Source organism: Homo sapiens, chromosome 4, assembly GCF_000001405.40.
Source record: "Homo sapiens chromosome 4, GRCh38.p14 Primary Assembly".
Classification (NCBI taxonomy): Eukaryota; Metazoa; Chordata; class Mammalia; order Primates; family Hominidae; genus Homo; species Homo sapiens.
Window position 1 is genome coordinate 7,617,945 of NC_000004.12, and position 16,583 is coordinate 7,634,527.

Consider the following 16,583-nt stretch of genomic DNA (forward strand, 5'->3'; position numbering starts at 1 on the left):
GCCCATCCCTCCGTTTTTCCCTCTTCCTCCATGACCCTACCCAATGTCATGGCTTCAGATATTATGTCTGCACCCCCACCACTCCCCAGCCCTGATGCCCCAATCAAAGTCCAAACTCAGATCTCCTGCTGCCCCATGACACCCCCTCGGAGGGTGGACAGGCATCCCTGATTCATCGCGTTGCCATCGGAACTCTTCCACCTGCTTCACAGAAGCCTCCTCCGCAGGCTCCTCTCAGGAAGTGGTCCCATCCCCCTTCACGCTAAAAACTCAGGGGTCATCCATTCCCCCTCTATCCCCTCACCCCACCTCAGATGCACTAGTGAGGTCTGTGCTGCACAGTGAGTTCTCCAAACCACGAGACCTTTGTCCACATTTCAGCCCCAGGGCCCAAGCACGCCCATCTTCCAGGGCTTTTTCCAGGACCCCAGCCCCTCTGTCTGCCCTCCACTCTGCACCCGGAGGGGCATTCACCAGGGAAATCAGGTTGCATCTCCTCTGTTCAAGGCCCCCAATGGTTCCCCATCCCACATTGCAATCAGACTCCTCACGAGGCTCCCGGGCCCGCACTCTGCCTGCCTCTCCGCCCCCAGCACGTTCTGCTCGCCCCTTCATGCCTCCAGCTTCGGGACTCCTGTGGTTTCTCCAAACGCCAAGTTTGGTGCCTCAGGACCTTTGTGCATGCTGCCACCCTCCCTAGCATGTGCCCTCCCCTGTGCCTAGGAGGCTTTTCTGCCTCAGGAACATTTTTCCTTACCCTCCTTTCCCAGGTCACAACCCCCACCCCACCCTAGGACTTGCATCTTATTACCTTGCTTTATATTTGCCGTGGTTTTTTTCACTATTTGAGAGTATATTATTGCTTTTACTTATTGTCTGAGCCATGTGCGCAAACACACACACACACACACACAAACACACACACCACCGTCCTGGAAGTCTCGGGCGGGGGCAGGAAGCTCACCTGTGCCATCCATGCCTGTGTGCACAGTGCGGGGGAGACTGCTGGCACCCATAGGTCCTCGGAAGCACCTGAAATTTCTAACCGGCAAATGTGAGAGTAGATGCTTTTCTCTGAAAAGTACAGGTGTCAGACACACAATCTGTGATGTGCACCCAGGTCCTGCGCCTGTGCTACGTGTCTCTGGGCAAGTTGGTGAGCCTCTCAGAGCTCCAGGAAGCTATCACCCCTCTCGAGGGTCAGCTACGAGGGTTCATGAGACAAGATGCGTGTGCCACTCGGCACCTGGCTAATAGAGGCTACCCAATACTTAGCTACCCTTAAGCCAGTGGCAGCGAATGATGGCCAGGCGTAAGGGATTCATCTGGCCAGTCTGGGAAGATCCAACATTGTTTCCCTCCATTAGGGCAAGGCATCTTGGAGCATTTTTATTGGGAAGCTTATCCAGTAAGTCCAGGGAGCAGAGGGCTTGTGTGTCCTTCTGGAAGTCTGGGAGCGTGGCTTCCCCAGACATTTCCCTTAAAACAGTCCGGAAGCTTCTGGCCAGTAAAACCTCACTCTACCCTGCCCACTCCACCTCTTCAGTCCACACTCAGGGACATGAGGGACAGTTTCCAGATGTGCAGGGTCTTCTGCCCTGGAATTGGTATTAGGCAGGCAGGGGTCCCAGCTTGGTGCCCAATGACTGTGGTCCCTGGAGAAGCGGCCCTGCCTCCTTGGGTGCCAGTGTCCCGACAGAGGTTGGACTTGATGTGCCCTCCCTCTCCCAAGTCCTTAGGACAACAACCTTCAGTGGGTTTCCCTGCCTTCTCTCTCAAGGAGGCTCGGAGGCTCTGCAGTGAGCCCAACACACAGGTATCAGGCCGATACTCACGTGGCATAGTGCCCGAGTGGGAAGGGACGGCCTTTAGGAGCACACGCATGTACACGTCTGTGCACGTGTTCATGCGTGTGTGACGTGAAACGCCAGGATGTTGCCATGAGAAATAAAGAGGGTCTCGGCACAGATTCGTCAGCCCCTGCCCCTGCCCCTGCCCTGTCCCCAGGCACCTGGTCTCGCTCACTCTAGAAACAGCTGCATCTAGTTACACCTCTTTTTTCTCCTCCTCCTCCTTCCTCCTCCTCCTCCTTCCTCCTCCTCCTCCTTCCTCTTCCTCCTCTTCTTCCTCCTCTTCCTCCTTCATCTGCTGGGCTGGGGACCACTGGGCGTTTCTCCTGAGCACCCCCAGCACCTCTTCTGCGGATTGCGATCTTTTGGAGCAGAATGATACGGGATTCTTACAGGTTTCCCTAATCAGCCATCCCTCCCACAATATCACCATGCATTGTTTTCTTTGGTCTAAAAATAGGAGACGCACAGTTGGGCTTTGTTGGGAACAAGGCATCTTGCTGTGTTACGTGGATGTGGCCCATGTGTGGCTGCGAGTGTCCGGCAGTCTCTCAGCTTTTTAGGGTCCCAGCTTTCACAAGACATCCTGCTCCTGCCTGCAGCCCACGCTGTGGAGTCCCACCCTGGGGATACAGCCCTGGCCATTCACCCCCACATCCATCAGGCATCTGTCCATCTGTGGACTGCCTGGGGGAGGGTGCAACTTCCCAGGCGAGGGGCTCCTGTCAACCGAAGCAGATTCCTGGGGAAGCGGGCAGCTGAGTTGTGGGCAACCAACAAAAACAGTAGCAGGATGTGCGGCAGCCACAATGCCAGGCTCCAGGCACTTGTCACTATGGAGGCGGTGGGTGTTGGGTACACACACTCCATGTCCCTGACAAAGCTGGGTTTGTGCAGCTCCCCATAGGTTGGCCTGGAAGGCTGTGGGGCAGGAGCTCTTTGCCTTCTTCTTGCAGACTAGAAACTGAAGCTGAAGCTGAGGCCAGGGCTAGTGGTGAAGGCGCTGAGGGTCTCACGGTGGGGGGTCTCCCCTGCACTCAGGGCATTGTCTCCGACCTGGACGGGAGGGCAGATCGGTCTCCTCTTCTCCTGCTCCTCGGCCACGAGGTCAGCCCTGAGTATTCCAGGCCCCCGAGTGCCCCCCAAGTGCCCTTCTCCTGCTGCGACCCCTGTGTTAGCCCACCACCAAGAGGCCCAGGGAGGCAGTGGCTGGCAGGCACGGGGGGGTTGCCGGCCATGAGGTCCCAGCTGGCTCTGAGACCACAGCTGCTGACCACAAGGAGGGGGCTCCCAGGGCCTCTTGACCTCAGGCACCTCCCCTGCTGGGGGTAGGTCATGTCCATCCTGGGCAGTGTGACCAGGCCCAGCGGAGATGTGGCAGCCCGCCCAGCCCTGAGCCCCGCCCAGGGTGGTGTGTGGGAAGTAGGGGCACAGGGTCTTTCCTGGGTTCCGAAGCCTTCCTCTCCCACTCCCTCCCGGCATCTCACACCCCTCCCTGCATCTACAAATGTGTGTGTCTGTGTATGTGTCTATGTGTGAGTGTTTATGTGTGTGTCTATGTGTGAGTGTTATGTTTGTGTGTCTATGTGTGAGTGTTTATGTGTGTGTCTGTGTGCATGTTTGTGTGTGTGTGTGAGTGTGTGTCTATGTGTGTGTCTGTGTGAGTGTTTATGTGTGTGTCTGTGTGTGTTTATATGTGTGTCTATGTGTGTCTGTATGTTTATGTGTGTGTCTATGTGTGAGTATGTGTGTGTGTGTGTTTGTGTGTCTGTGTGTGTATATGTGTGTGTTTATGTGTGTGTCTATGTGTGTGTATTTTGGGGGTGGTGGTGATCAGATGAAATCAGAGGTGGTGAAACATATTTTTAAAACATGAAAACACTTTTGCTGAACAAAATCCCACACAGAAACCCAGTCAATAAATCTAATCAAAGACAGGTTGCCGGGGTGTGGCACACTGTCCACCGAGCTTCCCTGTCACCAGCTCGGCTCTGTCTGAGACAGGCGACCTCTGGGTAAGATGCTCACCTCTCTGAAAAGCGGGGCTGGCAGCAGCCTGGCCTCTGGGGCGGTGTCCAGCCTGGCGAGAGCCTGCTGGTGCTGCTGCCCAGCTATGATGGTTGAGATGATCACTGCCTGGCTTGGTGAGCTCTATCTGCTTGTGACAACAGCGCTGTGAGTTATTAATCAGTACTATCAGGACTGATATCCGGGTGTGCGATTTTACTGACATTCTGGCCTCAGTAAGGCCTGGAAATACCCACGTCCTGCCCCAGAGCACGGCCCCTGGGGGAATTGCCACAGAGTAGCCACAAAAAAGCCAGGATCCCTGCGCTCCTCAGCAGGCCTGAGGCACCTCCTTCTCCCCTCACCCAGCCCCTACTCCAACCTGTAGCTCGGGTGGGAGGAAGACAGGGAGCAAGAAGGAGGAGGGTGACCCACTTCAAAAGGGGCAGGATCGAGGCCCCCATAGACTACAGAAGTGACTCGCGGTCTCGCCACTGTATGTGCATGGCCAGAATTCCTTGTAGCTTTGCAGGGCTCTGAAGCCTTTTATTCTGTGCCTTGCAGGGTTGAGCTTGTTATAAAGAAAACACTTGCACAGGCAGCGAGGTAGGGAGCCTCTTGCCACTGGAGGTATCCAAGCAGAGAGGCCGGGGCACAACTGCAGTGATTCCAGCATCAGAAGATGTGCTGGTCCAGCCGGCCCCTCTGCTGCTGCGTCCTGCTTCCAGGCATCACTGTGTCTGGAGTCCCAGGCAGGGGCTGGACTGCCCTACCCTGCCTTCCCTGCCCACCTTCCTCTTTGCCTGTGGGAGGGCGCCTGGCCGGGCTCTGTCATGAGTGCTCTGGCACGGAGTCCCAGGGGGCTTCATGCAGGACGGATATCTGTTCTTCCAGATCTGGAAGAACCAGTGCTGATGCTTCTCACAGGAAACCAGAGCTTCAGGTCACAGTGGCCTCCACGAGATTGTAGAGAACCCCTGGGAAATCTCCCACTCCAGAGCTCTTTCCCCGAGAACCTTAATTAAATCATCTTTCATCTGTGGTAGGAAGGAGGAGAATAACTTGACAAAACAGACACTCATTTTTCCTGCTGTGCCATTGTTCAGTTCACCCACTGCTCATGATGCGTCTGCTCTGGGGTCCGCCCTGTCCAGACCCCAGAGCCACTCCCTGCCACTGAGGAGTGGAAACGCTAGGACTGACTGATGACCGATGGCATATGGTTAGAGGGCAGATGAAGGACAGAAGACGGTGCTACCTCCCACCCCATCCCTTTCTAGGGACCATTACCCCCCCGACTGGCAGCCAGTGGTGCCCAGGGACACCGATACCCCATCGCTGATAATCAGTAGTCCTCAGACACACCAATGCCCTGCCTTTTACAATCAGTGACACTCAGAGACACTGATGCCCCACCTTTGACAATCAATGGTACCTTCGGGAGACACCAATATTCCTGCCATTGGTGATTACTGGTGCCTGGAGACATCCATTTCCCACCATCAGTAATCAGTCACACTCAGAGACACCAGTACCCCATCTTTGTCAATCAGTGGGGCTTTGAAAGCTCACCATGCTTGAGCTCTCGGTGGCTGGCCCGTGACTTCTGCAGCACTTTGCTGTCTGGTCCTCCCCCTGCCTCTCTGGCCACTCCTTCTCAGTCTCTTCTCAGCCATGAGGAAAGTACCAGGTGTCTTTGGTTCACTGTTTTTCCCCCAATGCCCAAGGTAGGAGCCGGGGGCCTTCCAAACTCCCTGTTGCCCGACCTGTGGCATCCAGTCCTGCTCCTTCCACCTTTTCACATCTCCTGCGGCTGTCTCCTCCTCCCCATCCCACGGCGTCCTCGTTCCCTTCCTGCTGGATTGGTCACCTGGGCACCTCGCTGTCTCTATGGTCTTACCCCACTCCCCCTCTTGTTCAGTGACCGAGCCCTTGCTGGGGTTCACGGCTGCCGCTTATGCGCTTTGTCGGTCTTTGCCTGTTCACTAGACTGTGTGCTCCATGGAGCCAAAGACAACGAGGTTGTTCCTTGCTCCACCCCCAGCCCTGGTTCATGCAGGTTCAATGGAGGCTGAAATCAAGAGCAGAGGAAGAGCAGCGCGCGTCCCATATCCACCTCTGCAGCAGCTGTCAGGGCTCTACCCCACCAACCCCTAAGCCACTGGGTGGTGACTGCCCTCTCTGGGACTCACTTGCTTGGGGCCATTCAACAAGGATAATAATAACAACTACTTCATCAGAGGGTGGTTGAAAATATGAAGAAAGCATTTGGTCCAGTGCCCGGCATACAGAAGTGCTCAATAAATGCTATGCACAACTATTTGTTACCAGTATTGCTGTATACTCTATGCAGTAGAAGTTCTTCATTCATGCCCACCGTGATTCAAGCTGCTATCACTGCAGACCCTGACTGGGGCTTCTCCAGACAGAAGTGTAGCTTCCCCACCCAACTCTGAGGAGCTTACATTCACGGGCCTTTCTTATTGGAGTCTATGACCACGGAATACAAATGGTCCCTAAATGGATGACCATGACCTTGGCCATTCAATGCAGACCTTGTCTCATGTTTTGGCTTCAGACACCTGCTTCATGGGAACGATAAGGGAATGATAAGAAAACATTAAGAATGGCTTCTAGTTGAAGCTGATGCAAGATTTTAACCAATTTGACCAGCAGCCACAATACTATCTTGGCTTCTCATCACAAATATTTGAAGAGACAGTCTTAGGAGATTCCACAGTTATTTCCGAAAGCTGTCATCTTCACCCAGGAGGCTGCCAGCACTGCTGTTGAAAAGGCCTAACACAAAGCTACTGAGATACATTCCCTTGCCTTCCACTGTTCAATTAGGGGGCAGATAAATGAACAAATTGTTCACACGTCCAACCGTACATAGTTAATGCAACCATCCTGATAAAAGACAATCTTCCAAAACACCATCACTCCAGAGAATTAGCCGTCTGCTGCACTCTGCCCAAGCAAACAGGCTTTTTAGCATTGTCTGCAAAATGTCCTCAGACAGGCAAACAAAACACGATTAAACCGTATTCACTCTAGAGCCTCAGCGCAAAACCCCTTAAGAGAACTGAGATCATCAGTGATCATGGAGGAGGAGGACGGCGGGGGCTCTCGTCTCACAAATGCTACACACAAGATCATTAATAAATCAAGGCTACAAAATATCGATGATGAGTTATTTTATATGCTCTGAAATGTATTTGCCTTATTTAGTTATTATCGATCAGACCCAAGATTTTCCAAGTTAGCCTTCTGGCCAAAGAGAAAAGGTTTGCCTTGCCATTAAATTTACAAATGTTCTCAAGGATGTTTCCTGGCATTTTAGCAATTGTCAGGCCAGTAATTAAAACAGAACCAGCTCTTTCCTGACAGTCAATTCTGTAATCGTGTTTGAGTGGCTGTTTTACTAAATTATATTGGATGCTTGTCAGCTCAAGCCCTGGTGCAGAGGCTGGACGCCAGCTCCGAGTCAGACAGAGCTGGGTCTCATGCCAACATCATGGCTCACAAATTGTTTGGTCTTGAGTGGGTCATCTCACCACTCCAGGCTTCTGTTTCTTTGTCTGTAAAAGAGAGACAAGAACATCTCCCACATGTAGCATTGTGAGAATATAATGAGGACTGTGGGGGCTAGTGCCTAGCACAGAGCCAGGCACACAGTCACCGTCTCTCAACCCACTAGAAGGAGTTCAAGTTCAAGCAGAGACGAGCCCGGGAGCCAGAAGCCACTGGTACCCATGCCAAGGAGGTAGGTGCAGGAGCCGGGTTGCATGGAGATGGTTACAGCAGGTGGGTACGATGGTCACTGGACTCAAAGCACCCAGCACTCTTCATTAACCCTTACAGTCACTCCCCAGTGGATGGATGGATGGAAGGACGGATGGAGGGGTGAGATGAAGGAAGGAGAGAAGGAAAAGAGCAGGGAGGAAGAGAAGGAGGGAGGGAGGGAAGAAAGAAGGTAGAGAGGCAGGAAAGAAGGAACGGAGGAAGGAGGGGAGGAGAGAGGAAAAGAAAGAGTTGGACTGAAAGTATTTATAGGCTGGGCGCGGTGGCTCACATCTGTGATCTCAGCACTGTGTAAGGCCAAGGCAGGCGGATTGCTTGGGCCCAGGAGTTTAAGACCAGCCTGGGCAATGTAGGGAGACCCTGTCTCTACAAAAAAATTAAACAAAATTAGCCAGGCATGGTGGTACACACGCGCCTGTGGTTCCCAGCGACTCAGAAGGCTGAGGCGGGAGGATGGCTTAAGTCCAGGAGGCAGAGGCTGCAGTGAGCTGAGATCACACCACTGCACTCCAGCCTGGGTGACAGGGCAAGACCCTGTCTCAAAATAAATAAATAAATATAAATAAATAAATAAATAAAAGTATGAAATACCGACCATTCATAGATGACCTAGCAGGAAACCTTAGTTTGTAACAGGTGTCTTGCTAACAGACTTTCTTAAGCTTTTGCTTATAAACACATTCCTCTTTCATAAAAGTACATTATTTATTGGATTTTTTCCTAATTACAAATGTAACACTTTCATTTTAAAATATTGACTTAACAAAAATGTATTTAGTCATTCCATAGGTGTTTCACACTAGGCCATGTGGTACAGACTAGGAAATGTAGCCAGAAACATTCTCCAAAGAAAGAAAAATGTACTATCGTCTCGTCACCCAGAAACAAACAGTGCTGTTAACCTTCCGGGCTGCTTCATGCCTCTGTCTCTATAGATTCATTCCTACATATGTACATCTCTTTCTATAGCACATACATATATTTGTGTGTATCATATGTGTGTACGTATTTATGTACGAATGCATGTATATAAACACATAAACACATCCACATTAGTCATTGAATTACCTGATTTTATCTTGTTCATGGAACTCACTACCATCTGAAATGATCGTGTTCCTGCGTTTGTTTTCCTTCCTGTCTTTTGCACTCAGCTGTAAGGCCATGGGAGGGTGATTTCATCCTGTCCCGTCTTGTCCTGTCCACAGTCATAACCCAACATGTAATACAGTCCCTGGTGCTCAGTGCCTAGGTGCTGGCTCAATGAATGAAAAATTCGAGTCCCAGTATGGTACTGTTCCCCATCCTCATCCTCGATGATAATGATTCTCTTGACTTTTCTCCTTTGTAAGATTTTATTTATTTTTTATTCATTTATTTTATTTTGTTTTATTTTTTGAGACAGGGTCTGGCTCTTTCACCCAGGCTGGAGTGCAGTGGCATGACCTCAGCTCACTGCAACCTCTGCCTCCCAGGCTCAAGAGATCCTCCTGCCTCAGCTTCCCAAGTAGCTGGGACTACACGTGCGTGCCACCAAGCCCGGCTAATTTTTCTATACTTGGAGAGACAGGGTTTCGCCTTGTTGCCCAGGCTGGTCTCAAACTCCTGGACTCAAGCGATTCACCCACCTCGGCCTCTCAAAATGCTGGGATTACAGGTATGTGCCTCTGTACCCAGCCTTTTCGTGGGTTTTTAAAAATTCCCTCAGCTAAGCAGAGGACAGTGGGAGGCGTCCTGCTGAGAATGCCAGGCCTTACATATCCCTACTCAGGATGGATGGGTGATGCTGCCTGCCCAAGCCCTGGCATCAGTCTGCTTGCCTCCCAACATGTTTCTCAGAATTGTGCATGAACTCCCATGCCATGGGGGGTGAATGGGGCCCTCGTCCGCCTAGTTGAGAAAATCTCTTTTAGGAACCATGAATGCTGACAGATCTCTCCACCTTGGCCTTGCCCTGATTCCCATTTGGCAGAGAGCTTTTATTTGAGGGGCAAAGCTCTCATTAACTCATAATGTGCCTCTGTTGGCTGAGGAGCCATGAAAAATGCCTTAGCAAAATTCCTGGGTCTTGGCAGGGAAGAGGTTAGGCAGTCTTAAGACCTTGGGCAGGCTGGAATGAAGGCGTGCCCTCGGTCCACACAAGAGAAGGTTTCAGATCAACTCGTTTTATTTGGTAAAATAGTTCTAGATCCAGCCATTCACCAGTGTTGGTTAGAAACCACTTTCGGTATCTGGTGGAGGAAGGGGTTTGACACAAGGACTTAGAGGCTTCCTTACATAGTAGACACTGCAAGTATCAGGAGGTCAGGCACGCAGGAACCTTGAGAAACAGCTGCCAATTCTCAGCTCCTGCTGCACCCAAGCGGGGGCCTGGCGAGGACGCCAGAGACCCTGGCACAGCCCCGGGCCTGCCTGCAGCAGCTGCTGGAGAACAAGGTGTCTCCACTCTTGTGCCTGTCAGCGGTCATGTGAAGGCAGCTTGGGGGTAGAGTCTAAGGGAGGCGGGGGTGTGTGGTCTCTGGGCTTCCAGGCTCCTGGGCTTCAGGTGGGGCTTAGAAGGGCTGAGACATCAGCACACAGAACAGAACAGAACACAACAGAACAGAACGCCACCTCCATTAAATGTTAAAAGTTCGGCCAGGCGCGGTGGCTCATGCCTGTAATCCCAGCACCTTCGGAGGCCGAGGCGGGCGGATCACGAGGTCAGGAGATCCAGACCATCCTGTGAATGGAGAAACCCCATCTCTACTAAAAATACAAAAAATTAGCCTGGCGTGGTGGCGGGCGCCTGTAGTCCCAGCTACTAGGGAGGCTGAGGCAGGAGAATGGCATGAACCCGGGAGATGGAGCTTGCAGTGAGCTGAGATTGTGCCACTGCACTCCAGCCTGGGCAAAAGAGTGAGACTCCGTCTCGAAAAAAAAAAAAAAGCTAGAAGTGAGAGTTAAATATATCCCATCAGCATGTTCAGCAGCACTGAGCTCGTGGCCTGAGCACCGACTACATGCCAGGTAGGGCTTGGGATCTAGCAGTGAACAAGGCAACCCTGTTCCCTGACCATGTGGCCTCGTGCGGGATCGGCCAGGAAGTGAGCACAATAACACAAATGGAGGGGGTGGGGAGCTGGGGCTTCCCGCGGTGGGAGCTGCACTTTGGGGTGATGGTAAAGCTCCAGAGAAGGACAGTGGTGATGGTTCTAGGGCAGTGTGGATGCCTAATGCCACTGAACTGTACACTCGAGAAGGGCTCACAAGGGAAATTTTATGATATGTCTGTTTTGCCACAATAAGAAATAATAATATAAAAGGATGTTTTCAGAGAGGCTTAATAATTGCTTTTTAAGACAAAGGATAATCAGGAGTCAGGGCCCACTTAGATGGTGTGCTGAGGAAGGGCCTCTGAGACGGTGGCCTCGGAGCTACCAGCTGTGGGTTAGGAGGAGCTGGTCATCTGGAGTTCCCTTCCCTCGCTGTTTTGAAATTTCAAATGTCTCACCTCAGAAAACAAGTGGGTGAGGCGACGGCTGTGTTGATTGGCTTGATTTAATCATTGCATGTTGTGTGTCGTATGTATGTATATACACATACATATATCAAAATAGCACATCGTAACCACAAGTGTATACAATTATGATTGGTCCATTAGAAGTGATATTAATAAAAATAAAAATAAATTTTTAAAAAGAAGGAGCCAGCCACACAGCCTCCGGGAAGGGGCTCTCCGGAGCCAGAACATAGAGTGAGCCTGAGGCTGGGGTGGCCAGAGCCAGGTGAGAGGGACCTCGGATGTGGAACAAACATGGGTGTGAAACAAGTCAGAGAGGCTGTGGCAGGGCAGGCCCAGCTGAGAGGTGAGGGAGGGAGGAGGTGGGAGTCAGGAGGTGGGAAGGCCAAGCTCTCTCCTCCTGGCCTGCTGAAGCCCCTCACCCCTGGCCACTCTCCAGCGCCCTACCCCCCAACCCCCCTCGCTCCCCACCCGCTGATCTCTGCAGGGTCCCTCTGATCTCCATCCTAGGCCAGTTCTTTTTCCCACTTCCTGCCATGCCTGGATGAGCTGTTCCTTTCCGGCACCCCCAGCCAGGAGTCTGTGCATGGAGCTTCCAAATGCCTAGCCACCGTGCAGATTTCCTCTCCGAGCCCAGCCCCATATATCAAACCCCACCCTCCCTCTACTTGGGTGTACCTCAGGAACCTCAGCAGCTCAAACTGACCTCAGCTTCATCTCCCCCAAACCAGTTCTTCCTACTGCATCCCCATCTCTGCAACGCGCTGTCGGCCACCCTTTGACCCAAGCCTGAAACTTAGTGTGCTCTTGTATTTCCCCGTTTTATTTATTCCCCAGCAAAGCCTCTGAACTGTAACTCCAAGATGTCCTTGACATCTGCCCTCTCCCCTCCAGTTCTCCTACCTCTGCCCAAGGCCAGGTCACCAGGTTATCTCACTTGGTTAACCACCACAGCAGCCACCGGCATGTCCCCCTGGGCCCTACCCTGCAGGCAGTCAGAAGTTGACCAAGGCATCTGGCAAAGTGAGGCTTGTTCATACGCAGACTGTGAGGGTGTGGTGGGCCTCTGGGACCTGGACACAGCCCAGGACTGCTTGAGCTCAGGATGCGTGGGAGCCATGTCCACAGGTGAGGCTGGGAGTGAGTGAAAAAAGCTTGAATCCCAGGAGCACCTGGGAGACCCTAAAGGGCCCCAGCAGGAACGAACCTGCAGACCACCTGCGATTTCTCCAAGAGTAGATCTTTCTTTCTGGTTGAAGAAAGCAACAAAAAGAATGAAGACCCCTCATATTTCTACAACACTTGCAAATGTTTTGCCTCATTGGGAACCTCAGCACAGAAGAAATTATTATCTCCAATTTGAAGGTGAGGAGAGGGACTTGTCCAAGGCCACATCTCAGTGGGACTCTGTATCCTGGGACCTCTACAGCCCTCAGGGTCACCCAGACATGACCATCACGGGAGTGACTTTCTCCTGAAACACCAGGCTAGCCGCCGGAGTGTGTGCTGAACATCCAGCGAGCTGTGTGCATTCAGCCACAGGGGAAGCGCCGGGTGGAAGAATGCTTTCTGCTCATTGTGACTCACACAAGCTTGGATGAGACACTCTGGGAAGATTCTAATTTCAGATCCGGGGGTGGAGGCTGCAGTGTTTGTTCGCCTCCGCTGTTTGCCTCTCTCAGCATCAAAGCCAAGTTGTCTGTACCCTGAGCTGGGTGCATCTGTCTGGCCAGGAGTAGACTGGGCAATTGGGTTTTAAATAGAAAGTCAAATCCAAATGACACCAATCCTTAGGGCTAAACTTGGTAAAGGGCAGAATAAAAGCATCCTCCCCAGGACAGAGATTTGTGAATGGAAACCAGAGTTCTGCAGAGGCGAGTGTGATCCAGAGCTCTAGCGAGGCGAGAAGTGGTTTCTGGATGCTGTTTGTTTTCCTTTTCTTTTTTTTTTTTTTTTTTTAACTTGGAGAGTTGAGAGTTAGGATATGATGAGCTTAGCTGCCAGGCAGACTGGGACATTGGCACCACCTTTTGGAGGAGATGGGTTGGAGCCCTGCCAGAGGAAGATGACGTGGACCAGGGAAGGGAACTTGGCAGCGTCCCGCGGGCCGGGGAAGAGTCACCGCTGGCTCCTGCAGGGCTCAGTCACAGGGGTGCTTCTGACAAGCAGGTCCAAGCAGGAGACCAGATGGGATGCAGGTCAGGGAGGCAGGGAGGTGTGGACTCATTTTGAAGAGCCAGAGAAGGGCATCCAGGCCTCGGCTTCAGGCAGACCTCCTGGCCAGGCAGGGAGGGGGTGGGAGGGCCAGCTCAGCATCTCCCGGTGTCTGCCCTTGGTCCCTCTGGGGCATCTTTTTGCACAGTGTCGACTCTGGCCCACCCTGTGTGAGCTGTGTCTCATCTGCAGAAATGCTCCTGATGGACAGCCTCTCCTCCACTTTGGCCCAGCCTGGGTGAGGGGCCCTCTCTGCTCGGGGCTGCCCTGACTAGTACACCTCTCAGACCTACTCGGTGATGTTTCTGTCTGCTGTGACCCCCCCGGGGGGGCAGAAATCCCATGGGGTTCAGCTCCTATCCCGGGGGGTCCACACCTATGGACTGAATGAGTCAGTCAGTCCCCTCCAGAATGGGCTGAGGGGCCAAGAGGGAAGAATGAATGGGAGTCCCTCCCAGCCCTCCCTTCCCTCTTCACAGGGTCGGAAATCCATCGTGAAAGCCCTGGACAGAGCTGCCGCTGCAGACTTCTGGAAGCCATTTCCTGTCTTTGAGGGTGGGAGGGATCTCCCTAGACTCTTCCAAGCCTGTTGCATCAGGACCCCCATGTTAGCCAGCTGCCTTCTGGGCAGGTGCAAGGATACCATTGGCTGCAGTATTTGTAGAGGTGACACAGACATCAGGGGAGAAAAGCCGTCTGTGTGATCACCCACTTGGCACACAGGCTCCCTGGCCTCACTTTTCCCACCTGAGAAATGGGGATAATCACACCTACCTAGCAGGTATGCTGTGAATATGTATTAAAATAAGGGACTCACCTGACCATGTGTCTGCCCCTGACCATTTGCTGGTCCCCGTAAACTGTGCACCCGTTTCTCAGAATTAGGCTTCAAATAACTGGCCATTAGTGAAATGAATCTGTCAAGCATTTCTCTTTACCATGTTTTAGAATGTCGTCTCTAATTTCAAAAAACCAGCCTCCTGGGCCCCCAGAACCCAGTGCAGGTACCATATGTCTCCCCCAGAATAGTAAGCAGTAAAAATACACCATTTAAAATAGAGGCTGCTGCCCAATTTGGAGGAACCACTGCCAGCTCCGCCTGGCACGATGCTAATTGATTTGTTTTCTTTGCTCCAATAATCCTTCCCTGTCAGCACCTTCCTCTCCCCCGTCTTTCCTGGCTCACTCTCCCAACTCGGCACCAAAAATAGCCCCGGCCCAGATTGCTGGGCCCCAGGTTGTAATCATTTCCTCGGGCTTTTTCTCCTCTCGCCTCCGTGTCACCACCTGCAAAGCCCAGGGCCTAATGGAGGGTGCGGACTGCCGCAGAAAGGGCCTGTGATGGAGAAGCAAGCCCTGTACCCAGAGCCCCCCGGCTGTGTGTGAATAACACCAATGCCCATTCATTGGGATCACGGTGCTGGGAGAAATGGCAGCGCTGAAGACATGAGCACTGCCAGGCTGAGAGGCTGGCAGCAGAAGCAGACCCACCAAGAGGACCCTAGGGCCACCAGGCTGTTAGCCTGTGTATGCACAAGATGCTGGAGGGGGCAGAGGAAGGAGTGGAATAACTCCCTATCATAGAGGGCTTCCTGGAAAAGGTGCCCTTTGAAATGAGTCTTGCAGAACAGGGTGCTCAACAAGCAGATAACAAGGGGAAGGGCATCCCATCATCAAAACAGGCTCACATGTATAAATGAGAAGCATTTAGGTTTGTTGAGGTTGTTCAGAATTTTGTACTCAGAAAATTTGAAAGAAGCTATTTTGATTTGATCACACATGGATTTTGTGTCATTTTGAAAAGTGAAGGTTTAGTTCTGAGTCACCAGTGGCAGGAGTGGGGGTGTCTTGGTCCCACTGTGCATTCCACCCAGAGGGAACAGTACACACACAAGTGGTTGTCAGGATGCAAACATCCTCCGCTAACTGGAGACACACAAGGAGTTTGCCGTGGCTGATGCCAGGAGCCTGAGGGGTGGGAGGTGAAGCTGGACGAGAGGCGGAGCAGGGACCCCCACCTGCTTGCCTTTGGGGTCATGCCGTCCTCTCTGCCTGAAGCCCCGTCCCCCAGGTCTACCAGTCAAATTTCCATTCATTCTTCAGGGCTCATCTGGGTGTCATCACCTCCAGGAAGCCGTCCTACCTGCCTTTGTACCTGCCCAACACCTGGGTGCCATTTTCCCTCTTCTGTGCTCCAGCGGAGCCCTGTGTTTACCTGAATCCTTGCTTGGACCATGTGGTTTTGCAATGTGAAAGAATGAATGAATGAGCCTTCATTCATGTGCAAAACTTTGAGTGGTGAAGACGCATAAGTGGATGAGTTTTTTCTATGCGTTTTGCTCTCCAGGCTACTTAAATGTTCGTAAGGTTGTTTTCCTCCCAGAGGTGAAAAGCAAACAAACAATTCCCTTAGGAGTCGCAGACTGAGATGGCATTGTTCATTCACTCATTCCTGCATGCGCTCCTTCATGTGTCCGTCAGGCGGGATTAACGGCCAGCTCCGTGTCCTGTTTTGCTCGAGGTACAAAAATGGCACATGGGCCAGTGAGGATGGTGGACACACAGTTGCGTCGTAAGAACGTTTGAAAAACTGTATCATGGAAAAAGTGCTTTAATGAGGGGGATTTGGGCTTCCCTGGCCAAATGGCACAGACGTGTGGGTCAAAGTTGAATGGATGATGAATGAACCAAGAAGTCCTGAGGACTTCCTTCCTTCTTCCTGGTTATCCAGGGAATCCACGTGCAGTGTATGCAGAACTTTGGGAGGGACAGGCCGGGCACCGTGGCTCATGCCTTAATCCTAGCACTTTGGGAGGCCAAGGCGGTTGGATCACCTGAGGTCAGGAGTTTGAGACCAGTCTGGCCAACATGGTGAAACCCCATCTCTACTAAAAATACAAAAATTAGCCAGGCATGGTGGCGGGCACCTGTAATCCCAGCTACTGAGGAGGCTGAGGCAAAGAATCACTTGAACTTGGGAGGCAGAGTTTGCGGTAAGACGAGATCGTGCCGCTGCACTCCAGCCTGAAAACAGAGCGAGACTGTGTCTCAAAAAAAAAAAAAAGAACCTAGGGAGGGAGGAGGATGATGAGGGTGTGTCACAGAGACACAAAGCCCAGCTAAAAGGGCTCCCTGGGGCCAGAGCTGGAGCTATTTGAGCAACAAAATATCAGAACAGTCTCCAATTACAACTAAAGTATAAAATA

General features: G+C 52.1%; 1 protein-coding gene across 8 annotated transcripts in view; it reads left to right on the top strand.

Annotated features, from left to right (window-relative positions):
- Window positions 1–16,583, top strand: part of SORCS2 (sortilin related VPS10 domain containing receptor 2) — a 550,290-nt gene that overhangs the window by 425,407 nt on the left and 108,300 nt on the right. The gene's annotated exons all lie outside the window — the stretch shown is intronic.